Source organism: Homo sapiens, chromosome 18 (assembly GCF_000001405.40).
Source record: "Homo sapiens chromosome 18, GRCh38.p14 Primary Assembly".
Lineage (NCBI taxonomy): Eukaryota > Metazoa > Chordata > Mammalia > Primates > Hominidae > Homo > Homo sapiens.
The window spans coordinates 35,089,985-35,113,247 of record NC_000018.10 but is presented as its reverse complement, the minus strand read 5'-3'; the positions used below and the strand labels follow the sequence as shown (position 1 = coordinate 35,113,247).

At 37.0% G+C, this 23,263-nt stretch overlaps 1 protein-coding gene across 5 annotated transcripts in view; it reads right to left on the bottom strand.

Annotated features, from left to right (window-relative positions):
* The window catches only part of MAPRE2 (microtubule associated protein RP/EB family member 2), a 166,444-nt gene that overhangs the window by 30,223 nt on the left and 112,958 nt on the right, over window positions 1–23,263 (bottom strand). For all 5 annotated transcript variants that reach the window (NR_046177.2, NM_001143826.3, NM_001143827.3 and 2 more), the window contains 2 exons: window positions 15,657–15,802; window positions 11,089–11,302 (listed from right to left, as the gene is read on the bottom strand). Coding sequence is in view for 4 of the 5 variants with exons in the window: in NM_001143826.3 (NP_001137298.1) it covers window positions 11,089–11,302; window positions 15,657–15,802 (360 nt within the window). In the remaining variant the exon portion in view is untranslated. The remainder of the gene's footprint in view (window positions 1–11,088; window positions 11,303–15,656; window positions 15,803–23,263) is intronic.

Sequence of the window (23,263 nt, the reverse complement as noted above, 5' to 3'; positions counted from 1 at the left end):
TCTTCTCTCTGCTCAATAGTTTAAATTCAGAAATATTCAGTGTCCTGGCAAGGCAGGGCACTGCTCATATTTTATGCTGGGGTTTTTATCATCATAAGAGGTAGGTGCTATAGTCTGAATGTTTGTGTTCCCCCCCAGATCTATACGTTGAAACCTAATCCCCAACACAGTAGTATTAAGAGGTGGGGCCTTTGGGAGGTAACTAGGTTGTGAGGGCAGATCCCTCATGAATGAGATCAATGCCCTTATAAAACAGGCCTAAGGGGGCTTGCCTCTTCTGCCATCTGAGGAAACAATGAGAAGGCACCATGTATGTGGACCAGGCTCTCACCAGACACTGAATCTGCTGGTGCCTTGGTCTTGGACTTCCCAGTCCCCAGAACTGTGAGAAATACATTTCTGTTGTTTATACAAAGCTACCTAGTTTATGGCATTTTGTTATAGAAGCCTGAACAGACTAAAATGTAGGGAAATGCAGTTTCAGTTATTCTTTGAGGAGAAAAGTCTAGCAGTGTCTTTTATACATCTTACACATGTAATCAGAAGAAAAAAACCACTGCTACCTCTCTTCTTCCAGGGAGTAGGGGATCTTCTACAATAATTTAATTAGTTGGGCCATTAGAATATTTCTTTCTATTTGCTCCAAGTCTTGATGTAGCTAAGGGAGTAGGCATTAAATGGTATGCAGCTTAGCAACGGGATAGTTTCTTAATATGAACAGGTCAAAAGGATGCCATGCTAATATGGGGTAGGGGTTGGGTAAAAGAAACAATGTTCTGCCGGGTGTGGTAGCTCACGCCTGTAATCCCAGCACTTTGGGAGGCTGAGGCATGTGGATCACCTGAGGTTGAGAGTTCAAAACCAGCCTGACCAACATGGAGAAACCCTATCTCTACTAAAAATACAAAATTAGCCAAGCATGGTGGCGCATGCCTGTAATCCCAGCTACTCGGGAGGCTGAGACAGCAGAATTGCTTGATTGAACCCAGGAGGCGGAGGTTGCACCATTGCACTCCAGCCTGGGCAATAACAGTGAAACTCCGTCCATAAAAAAAAAAAAAAAGGAAGGAAGGAAAGAAAGAAAGAAACAGTGTTCTGCATAATAATGAGAAGTACTAACATCTATTTGAAGAGAAGTCTTGCTAATTATGGGGCTAGTAAGAAAAATGCATCTTTTCCTTGTATTATTACATGATTTCTAAAATTAATATTTGATCCTTAAAGACATACGTAAGGTACTTGGGTAGGATGGTATGTGGATAAGTGACTGGGGACTGTAAAATAGCAGTATCAAGTAGGCATCTACTGGAAAATTGTAAGAATAAACAGGCATGACTCATCTTGATAGCAAGACCATCAAGGGACAAGAAGAGTACCTGTGCCCACCCTACAGGGCTCCGGTAAGTCAAATGCCATCATAGACTGACCTAAAGTGAATTTCTTAGAGCAAATAATGGCTTTAGGGAAAGACCAACATTTGTGGTTAAATTAAGGAGTTTCTCAAAAGGTAAATGAAGATTTAGTGCCACTTTGCAATAATAAGGAAAACGAAGTCTTGCATAAAGGCACAGACAGGCCTGAGGCTAAGGTTAGATCCCCTTGAAGATCCCCTTGAATGGGAGTTAACTTCCTGAGTATTTTTCCCTTGGACTCTAATTGAGTTAAGTGCCTGTTAACTCACAAGCATCAACCCTCTTTACAGCAATATAACAAAATCCAGTCTTCAGAGCACTAAAATTCACAATAACTAAGACATAACCCAAAATTATTTGACATATAAAGAGCCAGGAAAATGTGACATATTCTCAAAGAAAAATAAAATCAACAGATGTCAATTGTGAGATGGCCAGAATGATGGAATTAGCAGACAAAAACTTTCAAAGCAGCTACCATAAGCGTGTTTAGTGAAGTAAAGGAAATATGCTCATAATGAATGAAAAGGTAGGCAAACTCAGCAGAGAAAGAAAAAAAAGTAAACAGAAAAATACAATAGCTGAAATTTAAAAATGAAGACTTCTACAACAGTAGAATGAAGATGACAGAGGAAAGAGAGGGTAAACTTGAATTTACATCAACAGAAACCATCTAATCTAAAGAAGAGAGAAAATAAGTACTGGGAAGAAAATCAACTGTGCCTCAGGGACTTGTGTTATAATTTCAGAAGCTCTAACATATGGATAAATGAAGTCCCAGAAGGACAGGAGAAAGAATGGAGCTGAAAAAAATATTTGAAAAAATAATGCTTGGAATCTTTCCAAAGACATAAATTCACAGACTCAGGAAGCATAATGAACTCTGAAACAAGATAAATTCAAACAGAACCATAATTAGGCACATCATAGTCGCACTACTCAAAACCAAAGATAAGGAGAAAATTTTGACTGCACTCAGAGAAAAACTATGTATTCCATTCCAGGGTAGAATGAGTATGCACTTCTTATCTTTGGAGGCCACATGCAGTGGAATAACATCTTTAAAGTGCTTACAGGCAAAAAATAAAACAAAAGGAAAAACAAAACCCAGCTTGAATCCTTTATCAAGTGAAAATATTCTTTAAGAATGAAGGTAAAATAAAGACATTTACAGAAAAAGAAAATCTAAAATAATTTTTGCCACTGGACCTGCAGGATAAGAAATCCTAACAAAAGTCCTTCAGGCTGAAGAGAAATGAAACCGCTAGGGAACTTGGGTGTTCAGAAATGAAGAACGTTGAAAATAGTAAAAATATGAAATAAACAACTTTTCCTGTAATTTCTCTACAATAGATATGACTGTTTAAAGCATAACCATCTAATAGAAATATGTGAACCACATAAGTTTTCTAGTAGCCACATCAAAAAGGTAAAAAAACTCCACTGACTTTAACATACGCAAAACATATACAACATATATGAAATATAATTTCTACATGTAGTCAATACAAAAATTATTAGATGTTTTACATTCTGTTTCTCATACTAAGTTTTCTAAATTCAGCACGCATTTTATACACACAGCACATTTTAATGATGAATAAGCACATTTCAAGTGTTCAAAAGCCAACGTGTATTAGACAGTGTAGGTTTAAAGCAAAAGTTATAACATTATCTTGTGAGGTTCATAATGTATGTAAATGTAATACATATGACAACTATAGGGGTGGCTGCAGGGTTTCCACATTTTACATAAAGGTGTACAGTATTAATTTAAAGGATAGTGTGAAAAAACAAGAATATATATTGTAATCCTTAGAGCAACCCCTAAAAAATTAGTGCAAAGAGGTGTAGTTTAAAAGGCGGTAAGTAAATTAAAATAGAATTCTAAAAAATACTTTAAAAATCCAGAAGATGGCAGGAAGGGAGAAACAACAAAACAAGAAACAGAGGGGACAAACAGAAAACAAATGATAATGCGGTAGCTCTAAATCCAACCAAATCAATAATTACATAATTATATGAAATGTAAATGGGCTGGACACTCCAATTAAACAGTAAAGATTATCAGAATGAATAAAAAAGCAAGACCTGATTACATGCTGTCACACTTTATAAAGACAAAGACAGGCAGAAATTTAACTTATCATGGAGAAAGATGATGCCATGCAACAGTAAGCATATAAAAGCTGGAGTAGCTAGATTAATGTCAGATAAAATAGATTTCAAGACAAAGAATATTATCAAAGATAAAGAGGAACACTTCATACAATAAAAAGGCCATACTTCCCAAAATAATTTATAGATTCAAAGCTATTTCCATCAAACTACCATTGACATTCTTCACAGAATTAGTAAAAAACTATTTTAAATTTCATATGGAATCAAAGAAGACCCTGTATAGCCAAGACAGTTCTAGGCAAAAAGAACAATGCTGGAGGCATCACACTACCTGACTTCAAACTATACTACAAGGCTACAGTAACCAAAACAACATGGTACTGGTACCAAAACAGATATATAGACCAATGGAGCAGACCTCAGAAATAACACCACACATCTACAACCATCTGATCTTTGACAAACCTGACAAAAACAAGCAATGGGGAAAGGATCTCCTATTCAGTAAATGGTACTGGGAAAACTGGCAAGCCATATGCAGAAAACTGAAACTGAACCCCTTCCTTACACCTTATACAAAAATTAACTCAAGATGGATTAAAGACTTAAATGTAAAACCCAAACCCTAGAAGAAAACCTAAGCAATACCATTCAGGACATAGGCATGGGCAAAGACTACATGACAAAAACGCCAAAAGCAATTTCAACAAAAGCCAAAATTGACAAAAGGGATCTAATTAAACTAAACAGCTTCTGCAGAGTAAAAGAAACTATCATCAGAGTGAACAGGCAACCTACAGAATGGGAGAACATTTTTGCAATCTACCCATCTGACAACGGTCTAATATTCAGAATTTACACGGAACTTAAATATATTTACAAGAAAGAAAAAACCCCATTAGAAAGTGGGCAAAGAATATGAACAGATACTTCTCAAAAGAAGACATTTACACAGCCAACAAACATATGAAAAAAAAAAAAAGCTCAACATCACTGATCATTAGAGAAATGCAAATCAAAACCACAATGAGATGCCATCTCACACAGTCAGAATAGTGATTATTAAAAAGTCAGGAAACAATAGATGCTGGCGAGGCTGTGGAGAAATAGGAATGTTTTTACACTGTTGGTGGGAATGTAAATTACTTCAACCATTGTGGAGGACAGTATGATGATTTCTGAAGGATCTAGAATCAGAAAAACCATTTGACCCAGCAATCCCATTACTGAGTATATACCCAAAGGAATATAAATCATTCTGCTATAAAGACACATGCACACATATGTTTACTGCAGCACTGTTTACAATAGCAAAGACATGGAACCAACCCAAATGCCCATCAATGACAGACTGGATAAAGAAAATGTGGTACATATATACCATGGAACACTATGCAGCCATAAAAAGGAATGAGATCATGTCCTTTGCAGGGATGTGGATAAAGCTGGAAGCCATCTTCCTCAGCGAACTAACACAGGAACAGAAAACCAAACACTGCATGTTCTCACTCAAAGTGGGAAGTGAACAGTGAGAACACATGGACACAGGGAGGGGAACATCATACACTGGGGCCTGTTTGGGTGTTGTGGGTGAGGGGAGGGAACTTAGAGGACTGGTCAATAGGTGCAGCAAACCATCATGGCACACATATACCTATGTAACAAACCTGTACGTTCTGCACATGTATCCCTTTTTTTTTTTAGAAGAAGACAAAAAAGGTCAATTCAACAGGATGACTTAACACTCGTAAATACATAAATACATATACATCTAGTAATAGAGCACTAAAATACAAGAAACAAAAATGGAGAGAATTAAAGGGAAAAATGGACAATTCCATGATCAATGCAGGAAAATTCAACAGACTCTGCAGCAAATGTTAGAACTGGACAACAAAAAAATCCATAAAATACAGATCTGTTTACTCTGACACTGGTATTAGGTAAGTAAAAAAACGCACATAGAAGATCTGAATAATACCATCAAACACCTTGATCTAACTGATATTTCTAAAACACTATACAACCAACTACTGCAGAATACACATTCTTTTCAAGTGCATGTGGTCCGCTGACCAAAAAAGACTACATCCTGGGCCATAAAGCCAAGATCAGAACAAGGATGAAAACCACTCCTTACTGCTATTTTTTACTGCTTCTCTTAAAAAGCAAAGCAAACAAACAAAAAACCCAACAAAGTAAAGCAATTCTTATTTCCCAAAAGAAGGTGAGAGGTGATGAGTACTTAGATGACAGGTGCTCAACAAATGCTCATACATTGCTAAACAAATAAATGAATAAACATGATTACATTTTACAGTCATACAAACAGCCTTAGAAAACCCAACATTAAGGGTAATTGTTGAGTGAGAATATTCAAATATTCAACAATGTTCTTGAAAAACACCTTAGGATTTATTCAAATCTACATTTAGGGATTTAATTATGATTGCTCAAATACTTTATTCTATTCTACTTAGGTTGCTTCCTTTTGAAACCACTTTTGTGGCATTCCTATTAATCTGATTTTAAGGCTAAAACACTGAAGTCCCTAAGGAAAGCAGAAAGCTCAAACTCAATTTCCATAGCAACTCTAAATCTATCACACTATATTTATATATGGGCGTTTGATTTAAATACATGAATGTATGTGAATCTGCAATGTGTCTTAGCTGTCGTTGCTATAGTAACTACATAACTTTGAATTTCCTTTTATGTTTAGTAAGTGTTCACACATAAAAACCAATCCCCACCAACAGCTATCTTGAGTTGCAGATATGGCTCATAGCAATAAATTTACAAACATCATGATTCACAATGATGCATGTACTTATATATCTATCATTGTGAAAATGTGTATTTTAATACATGCCCCTGGTTGGTAGATTAAAACCAATTCAAGATGCAACTCCTCAGAATGTAGACAATAAAACTTACCAAGCAGCCATTTACCCTTAGGTGACAGCCTCTGCTTATGCAGTAAGCTTGTTACAGTAAAGTCCCCAACGACACACAGAGAAGCCACAGCCAAACTATTCTAAGGCTTCTCTGAATCATAAAGAAAAGCTTTTATCTGTATCAAAATGGTTGAAAAATCTAGCATGTTCTTAAAAAAACAGGATGCACCAAGTATTTAGAATGTATCTATTTTATACATAAGCAATCTCTGGTGCATGCTTATATAAGTAGTCTGTACAATGTAAAAGCACAATTTTTTTTCTTGCTAATGTAGACTGAGTCCTTTCATGGTGACAATCTACTCCAGGATCACTTTTTCCACTCTAATCTGGTCCCTCTGTCATACAAAATGTTTGGGAGCTGCCACTTACTGCTCTTACTGTATAATAGTTAGGACATAAGCTAATTTTAATATTGGCCTAAGGAAATTTTGGGGGAGAGATAAATCCACTAAAAAAATAAATCAAGTATTCCAAACTCAAAATAAAAAAAAATTAAGGACTATCACCTGTTTTTGATGATACCAGCCACTGCTTACGTCCACTAATGCAGATAATTAAGAAATGACCAAGGCTTAGAGGTGGGAACAAAATTACTGCTACATGTTAGTGACCTGGCAACACTGTGATATAAATGTGATACAGATATGTGAATTTTCCAGACCGCTGACCATCACCTTTCATTTGCTCTAAATTTCAGATGAACAAAAGCAGACTGTGTATAAAGAGAACGGCTTTGAGTGACTCCCACAAGCAGGGGTGCCAGTTTAGATAATGTAAAAATAGAGCTCATGAGGGAAATAAATCAGGGTCAATATTACAGAGAATTATGACAATTCTAAGAATTGTAAGGGACCTATGAGAGTATTGATGACTGCCTGCTGGTGTCATACATATACTAAAGACTACTGAGAGGCAATGGAACGATTTGATTTTGTAATAAAGATCCCAGGATACTATGAGGCTCTTTAGTAAGGTTTTAAGTTTTTTTTTTTAACTGAGGTTTGTACTTTCTATTGATACCTGTATATTCCTTGCCCTAATGAGCTATGTGCTAAGAAACCACATCCCCATCTTTATTACAATTATGTCTAAATTAAGAAAGAGCAAACACACTCTGGGTAAGTACCTCAGAAACTCATGAATGAAGACTAAGGTGCATACATTTTATAGCACCTATTCTGACTCTTGGAAGACATTTTGGCTTATATTATCTTGGCTGTATTCCCAATAACTGGATATGACTTCTAGAAAAAATGAGGTCTTAATGCATTTATAGGAGCCTTTCTCCTATCATGGCTTTTAATAATAACACTCTATATGTGATATACCCCCAGTATAGTTTTACTACCCTACAATGCCCAAAAATCAGAGCATATTTTATTAGAAAGGGAATGGCAGTTTGACTTCTGAAAATATCATTTCTCCCTGATTAAGACCAATAACGTAAACATGGTCAAGGTATCAGGAACATGGTCTCAGGAAATTACTGCCTTCCAGAACATTAAAAATAAAATTTATTATCTGTTGACTTTAATGTGTTTCCTGAGCATTGTCACCCAAGAGGTTAAGCTCTAGAAAATATATATTTCTCTTTCAGGTTCATGGACATTCTATCAAAATGGCACACGTTTATCTGCAGCTTTTGTGAAAGACAGATGAGGGAATTCCTAGAAAACGAGGCCAAGGTAGCATAGTAACAGTGCTATTTGGGTGTGGAGGAATATTGGTACCAATGAGAAAAAAATTAAGGACAGGTTATGATCGTGGAAGAAAATATTCTGAGGTCTGTCCAATCTCACTACAGAAAACTTGAAAAAAATGGCAGTTGAGTTTCGAGTCCAAGCTATCCATCATTCACAGCTTTAGAAAATGACATTAAGATGAGAAATATCAGACACCCTTGATTTTCTTAGCTTTTTGTCCTCCCACCCGACATACCTCCTGAATCCCAGACTTTGGAGAGGGCACAACATCCCCCTTTTCTCCACCCCAGCTCCTAGACTGATGAAAACTGCTGACAAAAGTTGAAGGCCTATCTAAACTGCCATCAATGTTTGTTTCCCAAACTCTTTGTGGCTTAATTTTTACCCAGCCTCTCCTATCGCTTTGGCTCCAAGAAAATAAATATCCTCTCTTTTCCTTTCTAACACTTTATCTATGCCCTTGACATCTCACCTTTTCCTTTCAGCTTTAGCGTCATACTCCAATTTCCCCTCTTTTTCTATTTTCAATGATTCCTTCTCCACAGACATGTCTCCCATCTTACAAACCTGCTTACATTGCCTTATCCTAAAAGCAAACAAGAACAGTTGAAAAAAAATAACATCTTCCTTCCAATCTTATTTCCTGAAGCTACTATCACTCTTTTCCCTACACAAACCAAATGTTTTTATTTTCCTCCATTTTTTTCTGACACATTTGTTAAAGGTTGAATCTACTCTTACTGCCTCCACTTCCACAAGCCCTTGTTAAATTGCTGCAATCTAGGCCTATGCCCTCAGTATTTTAATGGACCAATTCTCTGAGGGACTATTAATCACCTCCTAGGAGTCAGACTTTGGCCTATTTTTCAGGCTTCATCCTATTTGATATCGCCACAATTAATATTTGGCACTGTTGGTGACCCCTCTTTCTACAAATTTCCTACGGTTTTTGTTCTCTGATGCTGAGCTCTTCTGGTTTTCTTCCTGATGTTCATCTTTTTTGCAGCTTCCTCTTCTTCCTCCTCCCCCTTAAATGTATGTATTTCCAAAGATCTGTGCTTAGTTTTCTTTATTCTATATAGGCTCACCCATTATGGCTCCAAAGTTGGATCTTTCCACTGTCTCAATTTCCTTTCTCCAACTTTTTCCTCAAGCCATTCCTGGCTCTACCATTCTACTGAACGGAGAAATCATTCAAGTTGAGAAATCTAATGAACTCTTTCAGGCCTCATTTAACTTGACTTCTCAGCAGATGTAGACATTGTTGACCATTATGCTCCCTACCTTCTGCTTCCCTGACACATCACTTCCTAGTTTCCTTCATTCTTTCTGGCACCTTCTCTGCTTCCTATGCAAGCCCTTCCTCTTCTACTCAACCAGTAAATGTCCAAGTTTCTCAAGACACTCTACCCTTTATCATTCAGTATTTGCTTCCAGCTTCCATTACATCAATATGTGGAAGAATCACAAATGTTTATCTTTAGCCTATAACTCCTTTGAGCTCCAGACACACATGTGCACCACCCCCAACACAAAAATTGCCTATGTAGATCTTCTCTTAAATGTCACAAAAGAATCTCAAACTTAGTATGTTCAAAACAAACTCAAGATTTCTTCCCAAATCTGGTTCTCTTTCAGCACTTCTTGAACAAAACCCCAAATCCTTCCAGTTGTACAAGAAGTCATGTTTAACATCTCCTTCTCTTTTATCCCAGCATTCAGCCATTACCAACATCCAGTCTATTTTGCCTCCTAACAACTCTCCCAGAGTTGTTCATTCCTCTTCATCTACATGAGTACTATTTTAAGGCAGATGAAGAATTCATCTAATTCATACTAGTGAGTATGAGTATTCATGTTATCCTTAAAAATATTTATTTTTAAATATTAAAAAAATTTCAAAAAGTAATGCCAGTTTTCCAATGGTTTCAGTCTGCCTGGAATACAGCCATAAATCCAGAAATAAGATGATAAAAATGCTGTTTAACAGTAAGCAAAACTGTGATTTCAAAGCTCTTACCACCTATGTGGTCCTGTTAACCATTTCTACTTCATTCAGATTGTAGTTTGGGCACAAATAAGAAATTTGTTTTATTTACAAAATTCAGGTTACTGATTTAACAAGTTTGAACACTGGGTTCCACAATTGAGATGGAAACATGATTTTGGATGATTTCATGCTTAATTGTGCAGTACCCAACTGTGTTTCTAATAATGACCCAATTTTATAAGAACACATTCTGCTTGGTAAGGTCTGCTGTTTATGGCAAGGATGTTTATAATATATTTTAGAAAGTGGTTTTTTCTTTTTTTATCCACAGAAGTTTTAAAAGTTTTAATGTTCCAGATATTTTTCCTCAACGACTTCACTTTTGGACAAAGCTGGATAAATAGGGTATTGCTGAATGTTACTGCATAAAAATTGCCACTGCCTACAGAGGAGGTAGGATGTACAGTTCACGAATTTCCTTTGAAGGGTTAGAGACGATGATCCATATTTAACAACAGAGTTCAGTTCATATGCTGGTCTGTACTGCCAGCAATTAAGCAGTAAAAATACTTCAGTCAAAATCTAAACAGGCTACTTGAAATTTCTCGAAAAACTAAAAGGAAAAAGAAATCTATCCTGGGAGCATTATTTTCACTGCCAGCTTCAGTGATACAATGCAAATAGCTCTGCCTTTTTAATAGTTTAAATGAAGATGGTTAGACTAATGACAAATGGGTCACAGGAAGATAAATGTGGTGAAACAGACAACAGTAGAAATCATCCGAAGGCATTAAAATATTGACTGTTGAGAAGAATCAGTCAGAAACACACAGTAAATAACAGAAGGGTCTGAGCCATTATCAAAGATGAAAGCAACTCCCGCAATCTCATTGTGACAATACCTGCTGTGGGGGAGTTTGCATGGTGAGACTTTTTTGGCAGGTTGAAGATCTGTTCACCAGGGTCAGGAGGAGGAATTGCATCTTGCCCTTGTCGTGCCTCTACAGGATCATACTCCTTCCCATCGTAGTTAGCATCATAGAATTTCTTAAACCATTGAATAAAATCCAGGTTGTCCTGGAAACGTCCTTTCACTAGCTTCTCCACTGGAATTACCTGCAATAAAAAATCACTATGTGAGTTACAAACCTCACGTTTGGGTATATACCCAAAAGAAAGGAAATCAGTATCTCAAAAAGATATCTGCACTTGTAAGTTTGTGGCAGCACTGTTTATAATAGCTAAGATTTGGAAGCAACCTAAGTGTCCATCAACAGATGAATGGATAAAGAAAATGTGGTACATATACACAATGGAGTACTATTCAGTCATAAAAAGAATGAGTCGCAGTCATTTGCAACAACATGGATGAAACTGGAGATCATTATGCTAAGTGAAATAAGCCAGGCATGGAAATACAAACATCACACATTTTCACTTATTTGTGGGATCTAAAAATCAAAACAAGCGAATTCATAGGCATGGAGAGTAGAAGGACAGTTACTAGTGGCTGGAAAGGGGGAGTTGGGGATGGTGATTGGGTACAAAAAAGTTAGAAAGAATGAATAAAACCTACTATTTGATAGCACAACAGGGTGATTATAGTCAATAGTAACTTAATTGTACATTTTAAAATAACTTAAAGAGTGTACTTGGATTGTTTGTAACTCAAAGGGTAAATGCTTGAGGGAATGGATAACTGATTCTCCACGATGTGCTTCTTTCATATTGCATGCCTGTATCAAAATGCCTCAGGTACCCCATAAATATACACACCTACTATGTACATACAAAAATTAAAAATAGAAAAAAAAGAACTAAACCAAAACATCATTATTGATTTTCTTGGAATATTTAGTACTTCTGAACAAGCCAGACAAAAGGAATATCCTTAGTTGTCAAGAGGGGCTGGTCCCACTCATAGTACATTTATCCTCAAAACGTCTCTCTGGAAAAACAGACGCCTGGAATGTTGTGCTATTTCAAGACTGATAAGCTTTTTATTTTTATTTTATTTATTTTGAGACGGAGTTTCACTCTTGTCGCCCAGGATGGAGTGCAATGGCACGATCTCGGCTGACTGCAACCTCCGCCTCCTGGGTTCAAGCAATTCTCCTGCTTCAGCCTCCCGAGTAGCTGGGATTACAGGCATGCACCACCATGTCTGGCTAATTTTTGTTTATTAGTAGAGACGGGGTTTCACATGTTGGCCAGACTGGACTTGAACTCCTGACCTCAGGTGATCCACCCGCCTCGGCCTCCCAAAGTGCTGGGATTACAGGTGTGAGCCACTGTGCCTGGCTGATAAACTTTTTAAATTTCTTTGTAATATGTAGCCCAGTTGTGTTGAGATACACTCATATAAAGATTATAGTTACTAGAGAGTGGAGATGAATAAGATTTAAATCAATAAAATAGATACTTTTTATGGCTTCCTAGTATTCCATGGTGTATATGTGTCACATTTTCTTTATCCAATTTGTCATTGATGGGCATTTAGGTTGATTCCATGTCTTTGCTATTGTGAATAGTGCTGCAATGAACATTCACATGCATATGTCTTTAAGGTAGAACGATTTCTACTCTTTTGGGTATATACCCAATAATGGGATTGCTGGGTTGAATGGTAGTTGTTTTTAGCTCTTTGAGGAATCGCCACATTGCTTTCCACAATGAACTAATTTATACTCCTACCAACAGTGTATAAGCATTCCCTTTTCTCTACAACCTCACCAGCAACTGTTATTTTTTGACTTTTTAGTAATAGCCATTCTCACTGGTGTAATTTGCTGTTTTTTTAAAGAAAATGGAAAGGTATCTAGCTATGTGAATTATATTATCACTGGATTCTTACCTTTTACATCTTTGGGTGGGAATACTAGCTGAATGTGAATCACAAGATAGTTACAAAGCTAGAGTGTGAGTCAGATTGTGTGTGTGAGTGTGTGAATGTGTGTGAGTGTGTAAGCATGTGATTCAGACAAGCACACAGCTCACAGCTTTGCTATGTGACAATATGAATGGAAGCTATAGAAATTAAACTTTGAACAAGGCTTTGCCACTGTGGGAGCTACACATCATTGATATCCTAAAATGTATCAATAGGACCACTTTAGAAAATGTAGAAAGACCTTACATATCAATGAAAATTTGGAAGAAAAAAGCAACTGAAGCACGCATTAAACTAAATAATTAGCAATAAATTTTGCACAAATGTTTTTTATGCAGCTAAAATAGAAACTAAACCAAGTACAAAGCAAAATAAAGAGAAGGGAATCTTTTGGAAGATACCATATTTTTCATGAAGATTCTTTGGGTAATAGACTTTGGTGGTGATATGTTGCTCTTCTCTCACTTCCCCCAAACTTCAGTGAATTGTCTGCTTACAAGGAAGAATTCCTGCCACATGTGAACTCAATTGCTTTAAAATTTTTATTTTTTATTTCAGAGACAGAGTCTCACTCTGTTGCCCAGGCTGGAGTGCAGTGGTACAACCATACCTCACTGCAGCCTCTAACTCCTAGGCTTAAGAGATCCTCCTGCCTCAGCCTCCTGAGTAGCTGAGCCTACACGTATGTGCCACTGCACCTGGCAATTAAAAAAAAATTTTGTAGAGATGGGGTCTCACAATGTTGACCAGGCTGGTCTGGAACTCCTGGCCTCAAGTGACCCTCCCGCCTTGGCCTCCCAAAGTGTTGGGATTACAGGTGTGAGCCACTGTGCTCAGCCTCAATTGACTTTTAATTGTATTATTTAATCACTTTTATGTCTTCTGAGTTTAAAATTTTTGTTTATGCTGATATTGATTGTTAGAAATCAACTTTTTAGAGGCTTTTTAGAGCATAAAAAGCTTTTAACTAACAAACTACTATATTTTGTCTATTGCCAGACATGAACATTTATAAATAGTTTTAGACACTGGTGGTACATTAGCTGTTAAAAGAAGGCATTTACTTCTGTGGACTTAATTCTGCATTCTCTATCAACATGAAAGCTTCAGGGCAAAAGTTCAAAATCCTAGGTGGCAAGCAAAAGCATAGAACTTTCCATTGTGCCATCAGGCTATGACACACATGAATGAGGGTACTTAATGCTGTCTCTCACCGTACTTTTGGATCACATCACTGCATACTAAAGCTAGAAAGGCTAACAAAGGCCATCATGGCCAGTCTCCTTCCACTGCAATAATTTTTTTCTTCAACATTCTTAACAACTGCTCATCCATTCTGTGTGTATATACTTCTAGAGAGATATGGAGCCCACTAATTTGATGTATGACAAGTTCCATCAATAAACATATGAAAAGGTGTTTCTTTTCTTTCTAATCTAGAAGCATGTATAGAGAAATGAATGAAAAAGACACAAGAGGTATTATAAAAGTAAGGAGAACCTATATATCCCTAGTTTTAAATACATATGGAAAGAGCTAATTGGAAATTAACCATGACAAAGGACATAAAGTTGGAAATAATCCAAAGGGCTAAGATGTTAAAGAGAATGTATGTTTTGAAATAAAAATTCCAAGACAATGAGAAGTCAGGATTTTCTTAATATATTGATAAGAATGTCAAGAAGATATTAATTGCCTTAGCTTACAAAATACATAGTTTATCAAACTTTCCTTTAATCTCTGTCTTTTATAACCTGATATTTTATTTTTCATTTCCATAGCCTATTTATTACCTCTGTTTATGCAAAGAACAGTTTTCCATTTCTCCCCTGCTGGTTTATCTCTTTTCCCTTATTCAAAATTCATTTCTTTCCAAGCTCATTCATGCTAAGAGATATATCCTAAATAAGGAATATAGATTAAGTATGTATTTAAATAGCAGTAAACATGCAGAAAGAGACTGTTTTAGCAATAATCCCTTATTGAGAGAAAAAGTACTCCAGGCCATTTGCACCACTCCAGGACAAAAGTATAATTCATGGGAGAAAAAAAGGGCAAATTATGGACATTGAGAATCTGAGCGCACACACTATACCGGACACTGCTTCTCATGTCAACTTCATAACCATGAATAAGGGGTTTTTAGTCCCATTGTACAGATGGGTAAACTGAGACTCAGAATTTAAATAACTTGCTCAAGTCATGAAGCTGGGATTCAAAACCATGCTGTTTCTGCCATGACATGATGTTTCTCCAAAAGAACAAAATACAAAGAACCACAGTGGCATCTGGCAAACATTAAAAGTTTCTCATCTGCAATGCTAAATTTAACTAATAACACTTTAACATTTGTGAGCCCTGTTAGTTTTTAGTCTACTGGCTACAAGTTTAGAAAATCTGAAATGAAAACCTCATAAAAATACAAGAACTTAGGGTGATGCTTTATGCTAGGTACAGACCCCAGCCTACTGTTGGGATATCAAGATATATCCCATTGGTATGCTCCTGGACTTTTGCATTTATGCACAAAAACAATTTTAAGAAAAAACAACACATTTTATGGAGGTACAAGTCTCCTACCTTATCAACGTTCATTCGCTTAAATGATGCTTGCAGAAGTTTAAAATTGTGAATATATTCATGTTCCAGCTTTGCTTGAAATTTTACTTTCTTCAAACTAATGCAGCCAGGGAAGAGCATGTCCATGAATTGGCAATAGGCCGCTCCTGGAAAGAAACAAGAACAGTACTGGAGTGAGTCTCACTGTACCCAGATGTGGTAGAGGACTGCTAGGCTGGAAGGGGATTGTCCTTACAGGCACCATCATCACTCAGAGCAGAGTGTGTCCTTCTTACCAATGCGCTTATATCTCCTTGTCCACAGGATCTGGGAGCTAGAGGGAAGGGACTGTACCTCAACAATACAGCACCTGCCACTTCCCAACCCTAAACTCCGTGTATTGTACTCCATGCATCAGAATATCACCAGGTTCCACAACCAACCAACAGAACCTCACACTATAAAGCCAAGGAAACCAGGATAAAAGGAGCTCCTTCTAGCTTCTACCAGAGAAAAGAAATATACATTTTCTTCCACCTGGCTACCACCTGCTCCAAGTCATCAAAATAAACTTAAGAGGAAAAAGAGAGGAAAACATGAGAGAACTACAAAAGTTCTCATGAAATGTGTAGCTCAAAAAATACACATATGCTCAAGCTGTTTTCTATCTATAGCTGTGGTATTTACAAAATACCACACAGGTGAAAACTACAGAACCCCCACACAGGTGAAAACTACAAGTCAATTAATACCAATTTAAGTATTAAGTATTACTAAGTATTACTTATTAAGTATTACTTATTAAGTATTAAGTATTACTTATACTTATTAACTATTATTACTTATACTTATTACCTATTACTTATACTTATTAATTATTAAGTATTAAATTGGTAAATTTAATTGTTAAATTTTGTTATAAGCCAAGTTAATACTAATTTAATTCCAGTCCAGAGCAATGGGGTTTCCATATTAACATGAAGTATGAAGACATGGATACTGAAAGCTATAGAAGTTCAGAGTCATGTTCTTTATGACTAAGAAACATGACAGAAATGTCCAATGAGCCCCCTGGGGAAATGATCATAGAAAAAGGGGACTTTTGAAAAAATATATGAAGAGCTCTTAGAACATGACCACTACAACTGGGAAATTCTGGCAAGCTGTGTTTACTGATTCATATCTTCTTACTAGTATAGGCTAATGGCATTTAGGAAAATAAGCTGGAAGCCAGAATGATTCCTTTTCTTTTACAAGAAAGAAAACCAAGTGGCAAGAATAGGAACAAGTCACCATTTTTAGGTTCATTCTTTCTTTGCTATCTCCAGATCTCTTGGTCTCTCTCTATGATGTGCTCATGATCAGTCTTTCTGGAACATGAAGTGCCTCCCCTCATCCTTTACACTACCAAGACTTCTGTGAAGAGCCAGTCCTTCTACTTGGGTGACTCACTTTAGGAAGCAAGAACTGCTCTGTCTCTCATGTGAAATAAAGGTTAGGCATCCTTTACTGAGACAGCAATCTGAGATAAGAGAGAACAAGACATCAGGAATCTAAGGGTTGTTAAAACATGAAATGCTGGGGCAACTCCTATTTTGTAGGTAAGAGCGTAAAGTGATAAAACATAGGCCATAACGAATATCTCTAGAGTCTCTGCATCTGGTGTCCTTTAGATGACATACCCTGAATACTAACTAGTAAGTTCCTAGTCAAGCAGATGGGTTCTCTTAAAGAGAAGACAAAATAAAACAAATCAAAGGAAAAAAAAAGACACTGGGGGAGGAAAGAGAAACATCATGATCTGGAGGGTATTCTTTGAGTCATCACCCACTATCCAGTTCTTTCTTTTGAAGGACCGCCAGATGGAGCAAATTCCAATTGCCACTTTAACATTATTTTTATATGGATGGGATTGTTGAAACACAACTGCCTCATTACCTGGTCTTAGAAGTTATTTTCGCTTTTGTAGAGTTTAGCATAAAATTTATCTATGGAGACCCAGATACTATATACTCTTACAAACCAACCAACCAAATTCCTCATGTTTCAGATTTAAAAAGAAATAACAGCTTTTGAAAAAAAAAAAAAACCCTCTTCCATATAGTGAGGGAAGGAAGGAAAAATCATCTCTAGTGTCATCATCCAGAGAACCACTCGAAATATTCTGGTATATGCCATTCTAATCCTCTTTGGAAAGGAGTGTGTGTGTGCGTGTGTGTGTGTGTGTGTGTGTGTGTGTGTGTGTGTGTATTTTCTTAAAAATGTGATCCTGTTTTAAAAATGTAATCACATTATACCCATTTTTAATGTAAACTTTCTGAAACTCAACAGATCATAATTCTCTTTCTGAGTCACTTAATATGCTCTATCAATATTTTTAATGGCTTTCTTATTTTTATATCTTGCTTATCAACTTTCTCGAACCAAGAATACATAAATATGCATATTTCTGTCAAGTACTTTTATGGTCTCAAGTTTTACATTTAAATTCTGAATCCATGTGGAATTTATTTTTGTCTATGATATAAAGTATGGTTCTAATTTTAGTCATTCCAAATGTTGGTGGAAATCTGTCATTTTTGGCTCCAGGATTTGGACACCTACTACCTGGGGAGATGCTATAGTGCCCTGCCTCCCACCACAGAAGCTGAAAGTGGCCAGGCATCCCTTTCCCTCACAACAATAAGGATGAAGGCCCATGACCTAGGCTCTGTGTTTGAATCCTGCCTCAGTATCTGAGTTGAGGAAATGATATAAACACACAGGGACCATTAGAGTTTAGTTGTGGTGGCAGAGTGGTGGGGTCTAGAGTCCTGAGCAGCAAAAGCAGCACAGTGCCATCCTATTCTTGTGACACAAGGGAGGCTGTGTTCCCAGCTCCTTAGCATCCTTTGGTTCCTGTCCATCTTCTGAGCTCGGCTTTCCATTGACTCTGAGCTACCCAACATTTTTCCTATAGATTGTTCTTCTACTTAAGCCTGCCAGGATTAACTTCTACTATTTTCAACCTAAACCACTAACTGATAAAGTTAGCTAGGTGTTGAACATCACAACTTAATAATCTATTCGTTCCCCACCAATGAGAAGCACTATTTTTACTATCTATTGCCTTCCTAATACATGTACTTAGATCTCTTTCTAGATTTTAAATTGCCTTTTTTGTCTCCATGGCAGTTCCACATTCTTATTTAAAACTCTATAACATGTATTACTATCTATAGAATAATTTCCCCTCCTCTTATTCTCAAAATTTTCCTAAATTTTATCATGCCATTTATTCTTTCCATTATATTTTTGAATTTGTTATTCATGGCATATAAAAATAATAGCTTTCAAAAACAGGTAACTTATTAATTTGTATTTTGTTTTTGATAAATAATTATATACATTATGGGGTACAAGTGTGATCTTTTAATACATATATACATTGTGTAATGATCAAATCAGGGTATTTGGCATATCCATCACCTCACACATTTATCATTTCTTTGTGGTGAGAACATTCAAAGTCGCTATTTTTTTCCCAAGTGGCTGCAAAATATTTACTTGGTATTTCACCATTGCTTATTTAACCTTGTGCTTGTTTTCCAATTTTTCTCAATTATAAATAATGCTATGATTTGAAAAACTCTTGTCTTGAGAAAGGTCAATATAAGTCAGGGAGATGTTAGCTCTAAATAGGGTACACTCCTGGGATTTGAGAGCAAGGGGAATATGAAATATACAACACAATATTGTTAACCATAGTCACCATACTGTATAACAGAATGCCAGAGCTTATTCCTCCTACCTAACTGTAACTTTGTACCCACTGACCAATCTCTCTCCATTCCTCCCTCTGCTTTCCCCTTTCCAGTCTCTGGAAATCATTATTCTACTCTCTATTTCTATGAGATCAACTCTGTCAGATTCCACATGAGGAAGATCATGCAGTATTTGTCTTTCTGTGCCTGGCTTATTTCACCGAACATAACGTCCTCCACGTTCATCCATGTGGCCACAAATGACAAGATTTCATTTTTTTATATGACTAAACAGTATTTCGTTGTGTATTTATACCACTTTTTAAACATCTATTAATCACACTGATGGACACTAAGGTTGATTCCATTTCTTGGTTATTGTCAACAGTGCTACAATAAACATGAGTGCAGATATCTCTTGGGCATACTGATTTAATTTCCTTTGGCTATATATCCAGTCGTGGGATTGCTGGATCATACGGTAGTTCTATTTTTAGTGTTTTGAGGCGCCTCCATATTGTTTTTTATAATGGCTGTACTAATTCACATTTCTACCAACAGTGTATGAGAGTTCTCCTTTCTCCAAATCCATGCCAACAATTTTTTTTGCCTTTTTGATAATAGCCATTCCTTTTTTTTTTTTTTTTTTTTTTTTTTTGAGACAGGGTCTTGCTCTGTCTCCTAACCTGGAGTGCAGTGTCATGATCTCGGCTCACTGCAACGTCCACCTCCCAGGTTCAAGTGATTCTCATGCCTCAATCTCCCCAGTAACTGGGACTACAGGCACCCGCCAGCATGCCCAGGTAATTTTTGTATTTGTAGAAGAGATGGGGTTTTACCATGTTAGCCAGGCTGGTCTTGAACTACCGACCTCAAGTGATCTGCCCACCTCAGCCTCCCAAAGTGCTGGGATTACAGGCATGAGCCACTGCGCCTGGCCTCTTTTTGATAATAGCCATTCTAATCGGGGTGAGGTGATGTCTCACTGTGGTTCCCACTGTATTTCCTTGATGATTAGTGACGTTGAACATTTTCTCCTATACCTGTGGCCATTTGTATGTTTTCTTTTGAGAAATGTCTAACCAAGTCTTTTGCCCATTTTTTATTTAGTTCTTTTTTCTACTGAGTTGAGTTCCTTATATTAGCCCCTTGCCAGATGAATAGTTTGCACATATTTTCTTCCATTCTGTAGGTTGTCTTTTCATTCTGCTGACTGTTTCCTTTGCTGTGAAGGAGTTTTTTTGTTCGATATAATCCTATTTGTCTATTTTTGCTTTTGTTAGCTGTGCTTTTAAGGTCTTACCCAAAAAATCTTTGCCCAGATCAATGTCATGAAGTATTTCCCCTATGTTTTCTTCTAGTAGTTTTATCATTTTAGGTCTTTCACTTAAGTCTTTAGCCCATTTTGAGTTGATTTTTGTATGTGGTAAGAGATAGGGATCTAGTTTAATTCTTCTGCACATGGATAGCCAGATTTCTTAGCATCATTTATGAAGAGACTGTCCTTTCCCTATGTTCCTGGCACTGTGGTCAAAAATCAGTTGGCTACAAACGTGTGGATTTACTTCTGTGTGCTCTATTCTGTTGGATTGTTCTATGTATCTATTTTCAGGTGATATGGTTTGGATCTGCGTCCCCACCCACATCTCATGTTCAATTGTAATCCCCAATTTTGGAGGTGGGGCCTGGTGGGAGGTGACTGGGTCATGGGGCCAGTTTCTCATGAATGGGTGATCACTATCCCCTCAGTGCTGTTCTTATGATAGTGAGTAAGCAGTGAGTTCTTGTGAAATCTGGTTGTTTAAAAGTGTGTAGCAAGTGTGAAGCAACTCCCACATCTCTCTCTTGCTCCTGCTCCAGCCACGTAAGATGTGCCTGCTTTCCCTTGGCCTTCTGCCATGACTGGAAGCTTGCTGAGGCCTCCCCAGAAGCAGAAGCCAATATGTACAGCCTGCAGAACTGTGAGCCAATTAAGCCTCTTTTCTTAATATTAATACATTACCCAGTCTCAGATATTTCTGTATAGCAATGCAAGAATAGGCTAATACATCATGCCAGTATGATGTTATTTTGGCTACTACAGCTCTGTAGTGTATTTTGAAGTCAGGCGATGTGATGCCTCAGTATTTTTTTTTTTTTTAAATACAGATGCCGTGGGAGAGTGGGATAGCCCACTCATTGCCAAGGAGGCAAAGTGGAGTCAAAGGAGCCCACCCATCTGCTGCAGTCCCCTCCAGCATTGTTCTTTTTGTTCAGTATCGCTTTGGCTATTCAGGGTCTTTTGTGGTTCCATGTGAACTTTAAAATTATCTTTTTCTCTTTCTGTGAAGAATGCCATTGGTATTTTTTGCAGGAATTGCACTGGATCTATAGATGGCTTTGGGTAGTATAGGTTAAGTACACCTTATCCAAAATGCTTTGGACTAGAAGTGTTTTCAGATTTCAGATACTTTAAGATTTGGGAATATCTGCATACATATAATGAGATATCTAGGAGACAGGACCCAAGTCTACACATGAAAATCGTTTATGCTTCATATACACCTTATACACATACCCTGAAGGTAATTTTATACAGTATTTTTAATAATTTTGTGCATAAAACAAGTTTGAATGTGTTTTGCCTGTGAACTGTCACATGAGATTAGGTGTGGATTTTTCACTTGTGGTATGTCAGAACTAAAACAATTTCAGATCTTGAAGCATTATGATTTTTGGATTAGAGATACTTAACCTGTATGGACTTTTTAACAATATTGATTTTTCCAATCCATAAACATGGCATGGCTTTCCATTTATTTATGTCCTCTTCAATTTCTTTCATCAATGTTTTATATGTTTCCATTGTAGAAATCTTTCAGCTCCTTCGCTAAGTTTATTCTTAGGTGTCTCATTTTTTTGGTAGTGATTATAAGTGGGATTGCTTCCTTAATTTTTCAGATAGTTTGGTATCAGCATACAGAAACGCTGCTGACTTTTGTTACGCTGATTTTGTATCCTGCAACAAAATTTGTTTATTAGTTCTAACAGTTTTTTAAAATTGAGTTTTTAGGGATATAAATACATAATCATGCTGTCTGCAAACAATTTGACTTCCTCCTATTTTTTTTCTTTTTCTTTTTCTTTTTTTTTTTTTTTGAGACCGAATCTTGCTCTGTCTCCCAGGCTGGAGTGCAGTGGCGCAATCTTGGCTCACTGCAACCTCTGCCTCCCAAGCTGAAGCGATTCTTCTGCCTCAGCCTCCTGAGTAGCTGGGACTACAGGCACCCACCACCACAACTGGCTCATTTTTGTATTTTTAGTGGAGACAGGGTTTCACCATGTTGGCCAGGCTGGTCTCAAACTCCTGACCTCAGGTGATCTTCCTGCCTTGGACTCCCAAAGTGCTGGGATTACACGCGTGAGCCACCATGCCCGGCCCTGAGTTCCTCCTTTCTAATTTGGATGCCTTTCATTCCTTTCTCCTGTCTAATTACTCTGGCTAGGACTTCCAGAACAATGTTGAATAGAAGTGGTTAAAATGGACATCCTTGTCTTGTTCCAGATCTTATCCTAGTAAAGCTAGGATATAATTCATATACCCTAAAGTTCAACCTTTTGAAATGTAAAATTCAGTGGTTTTTAACATACTCACAGAATTGTTCATCCATTGCCACTATTTAATTCCAGCATATATTTATTACTGCCAAAAAAAAACCCTTCTTACTCATTAGCAGTCGCTCTCTATGATCTCTCCTCCCTCCAGGCCCTGGCAACCACTAATCTATTTTCTGTCTCTATGGATCTGACTATTCTGGACAATTCATATAAATAGAATCATATAACATGTGGCCTTTGTGTCTGGTTTCTTTCACTCAGCAAACTCTTCTCAAGGTTTATCCATGT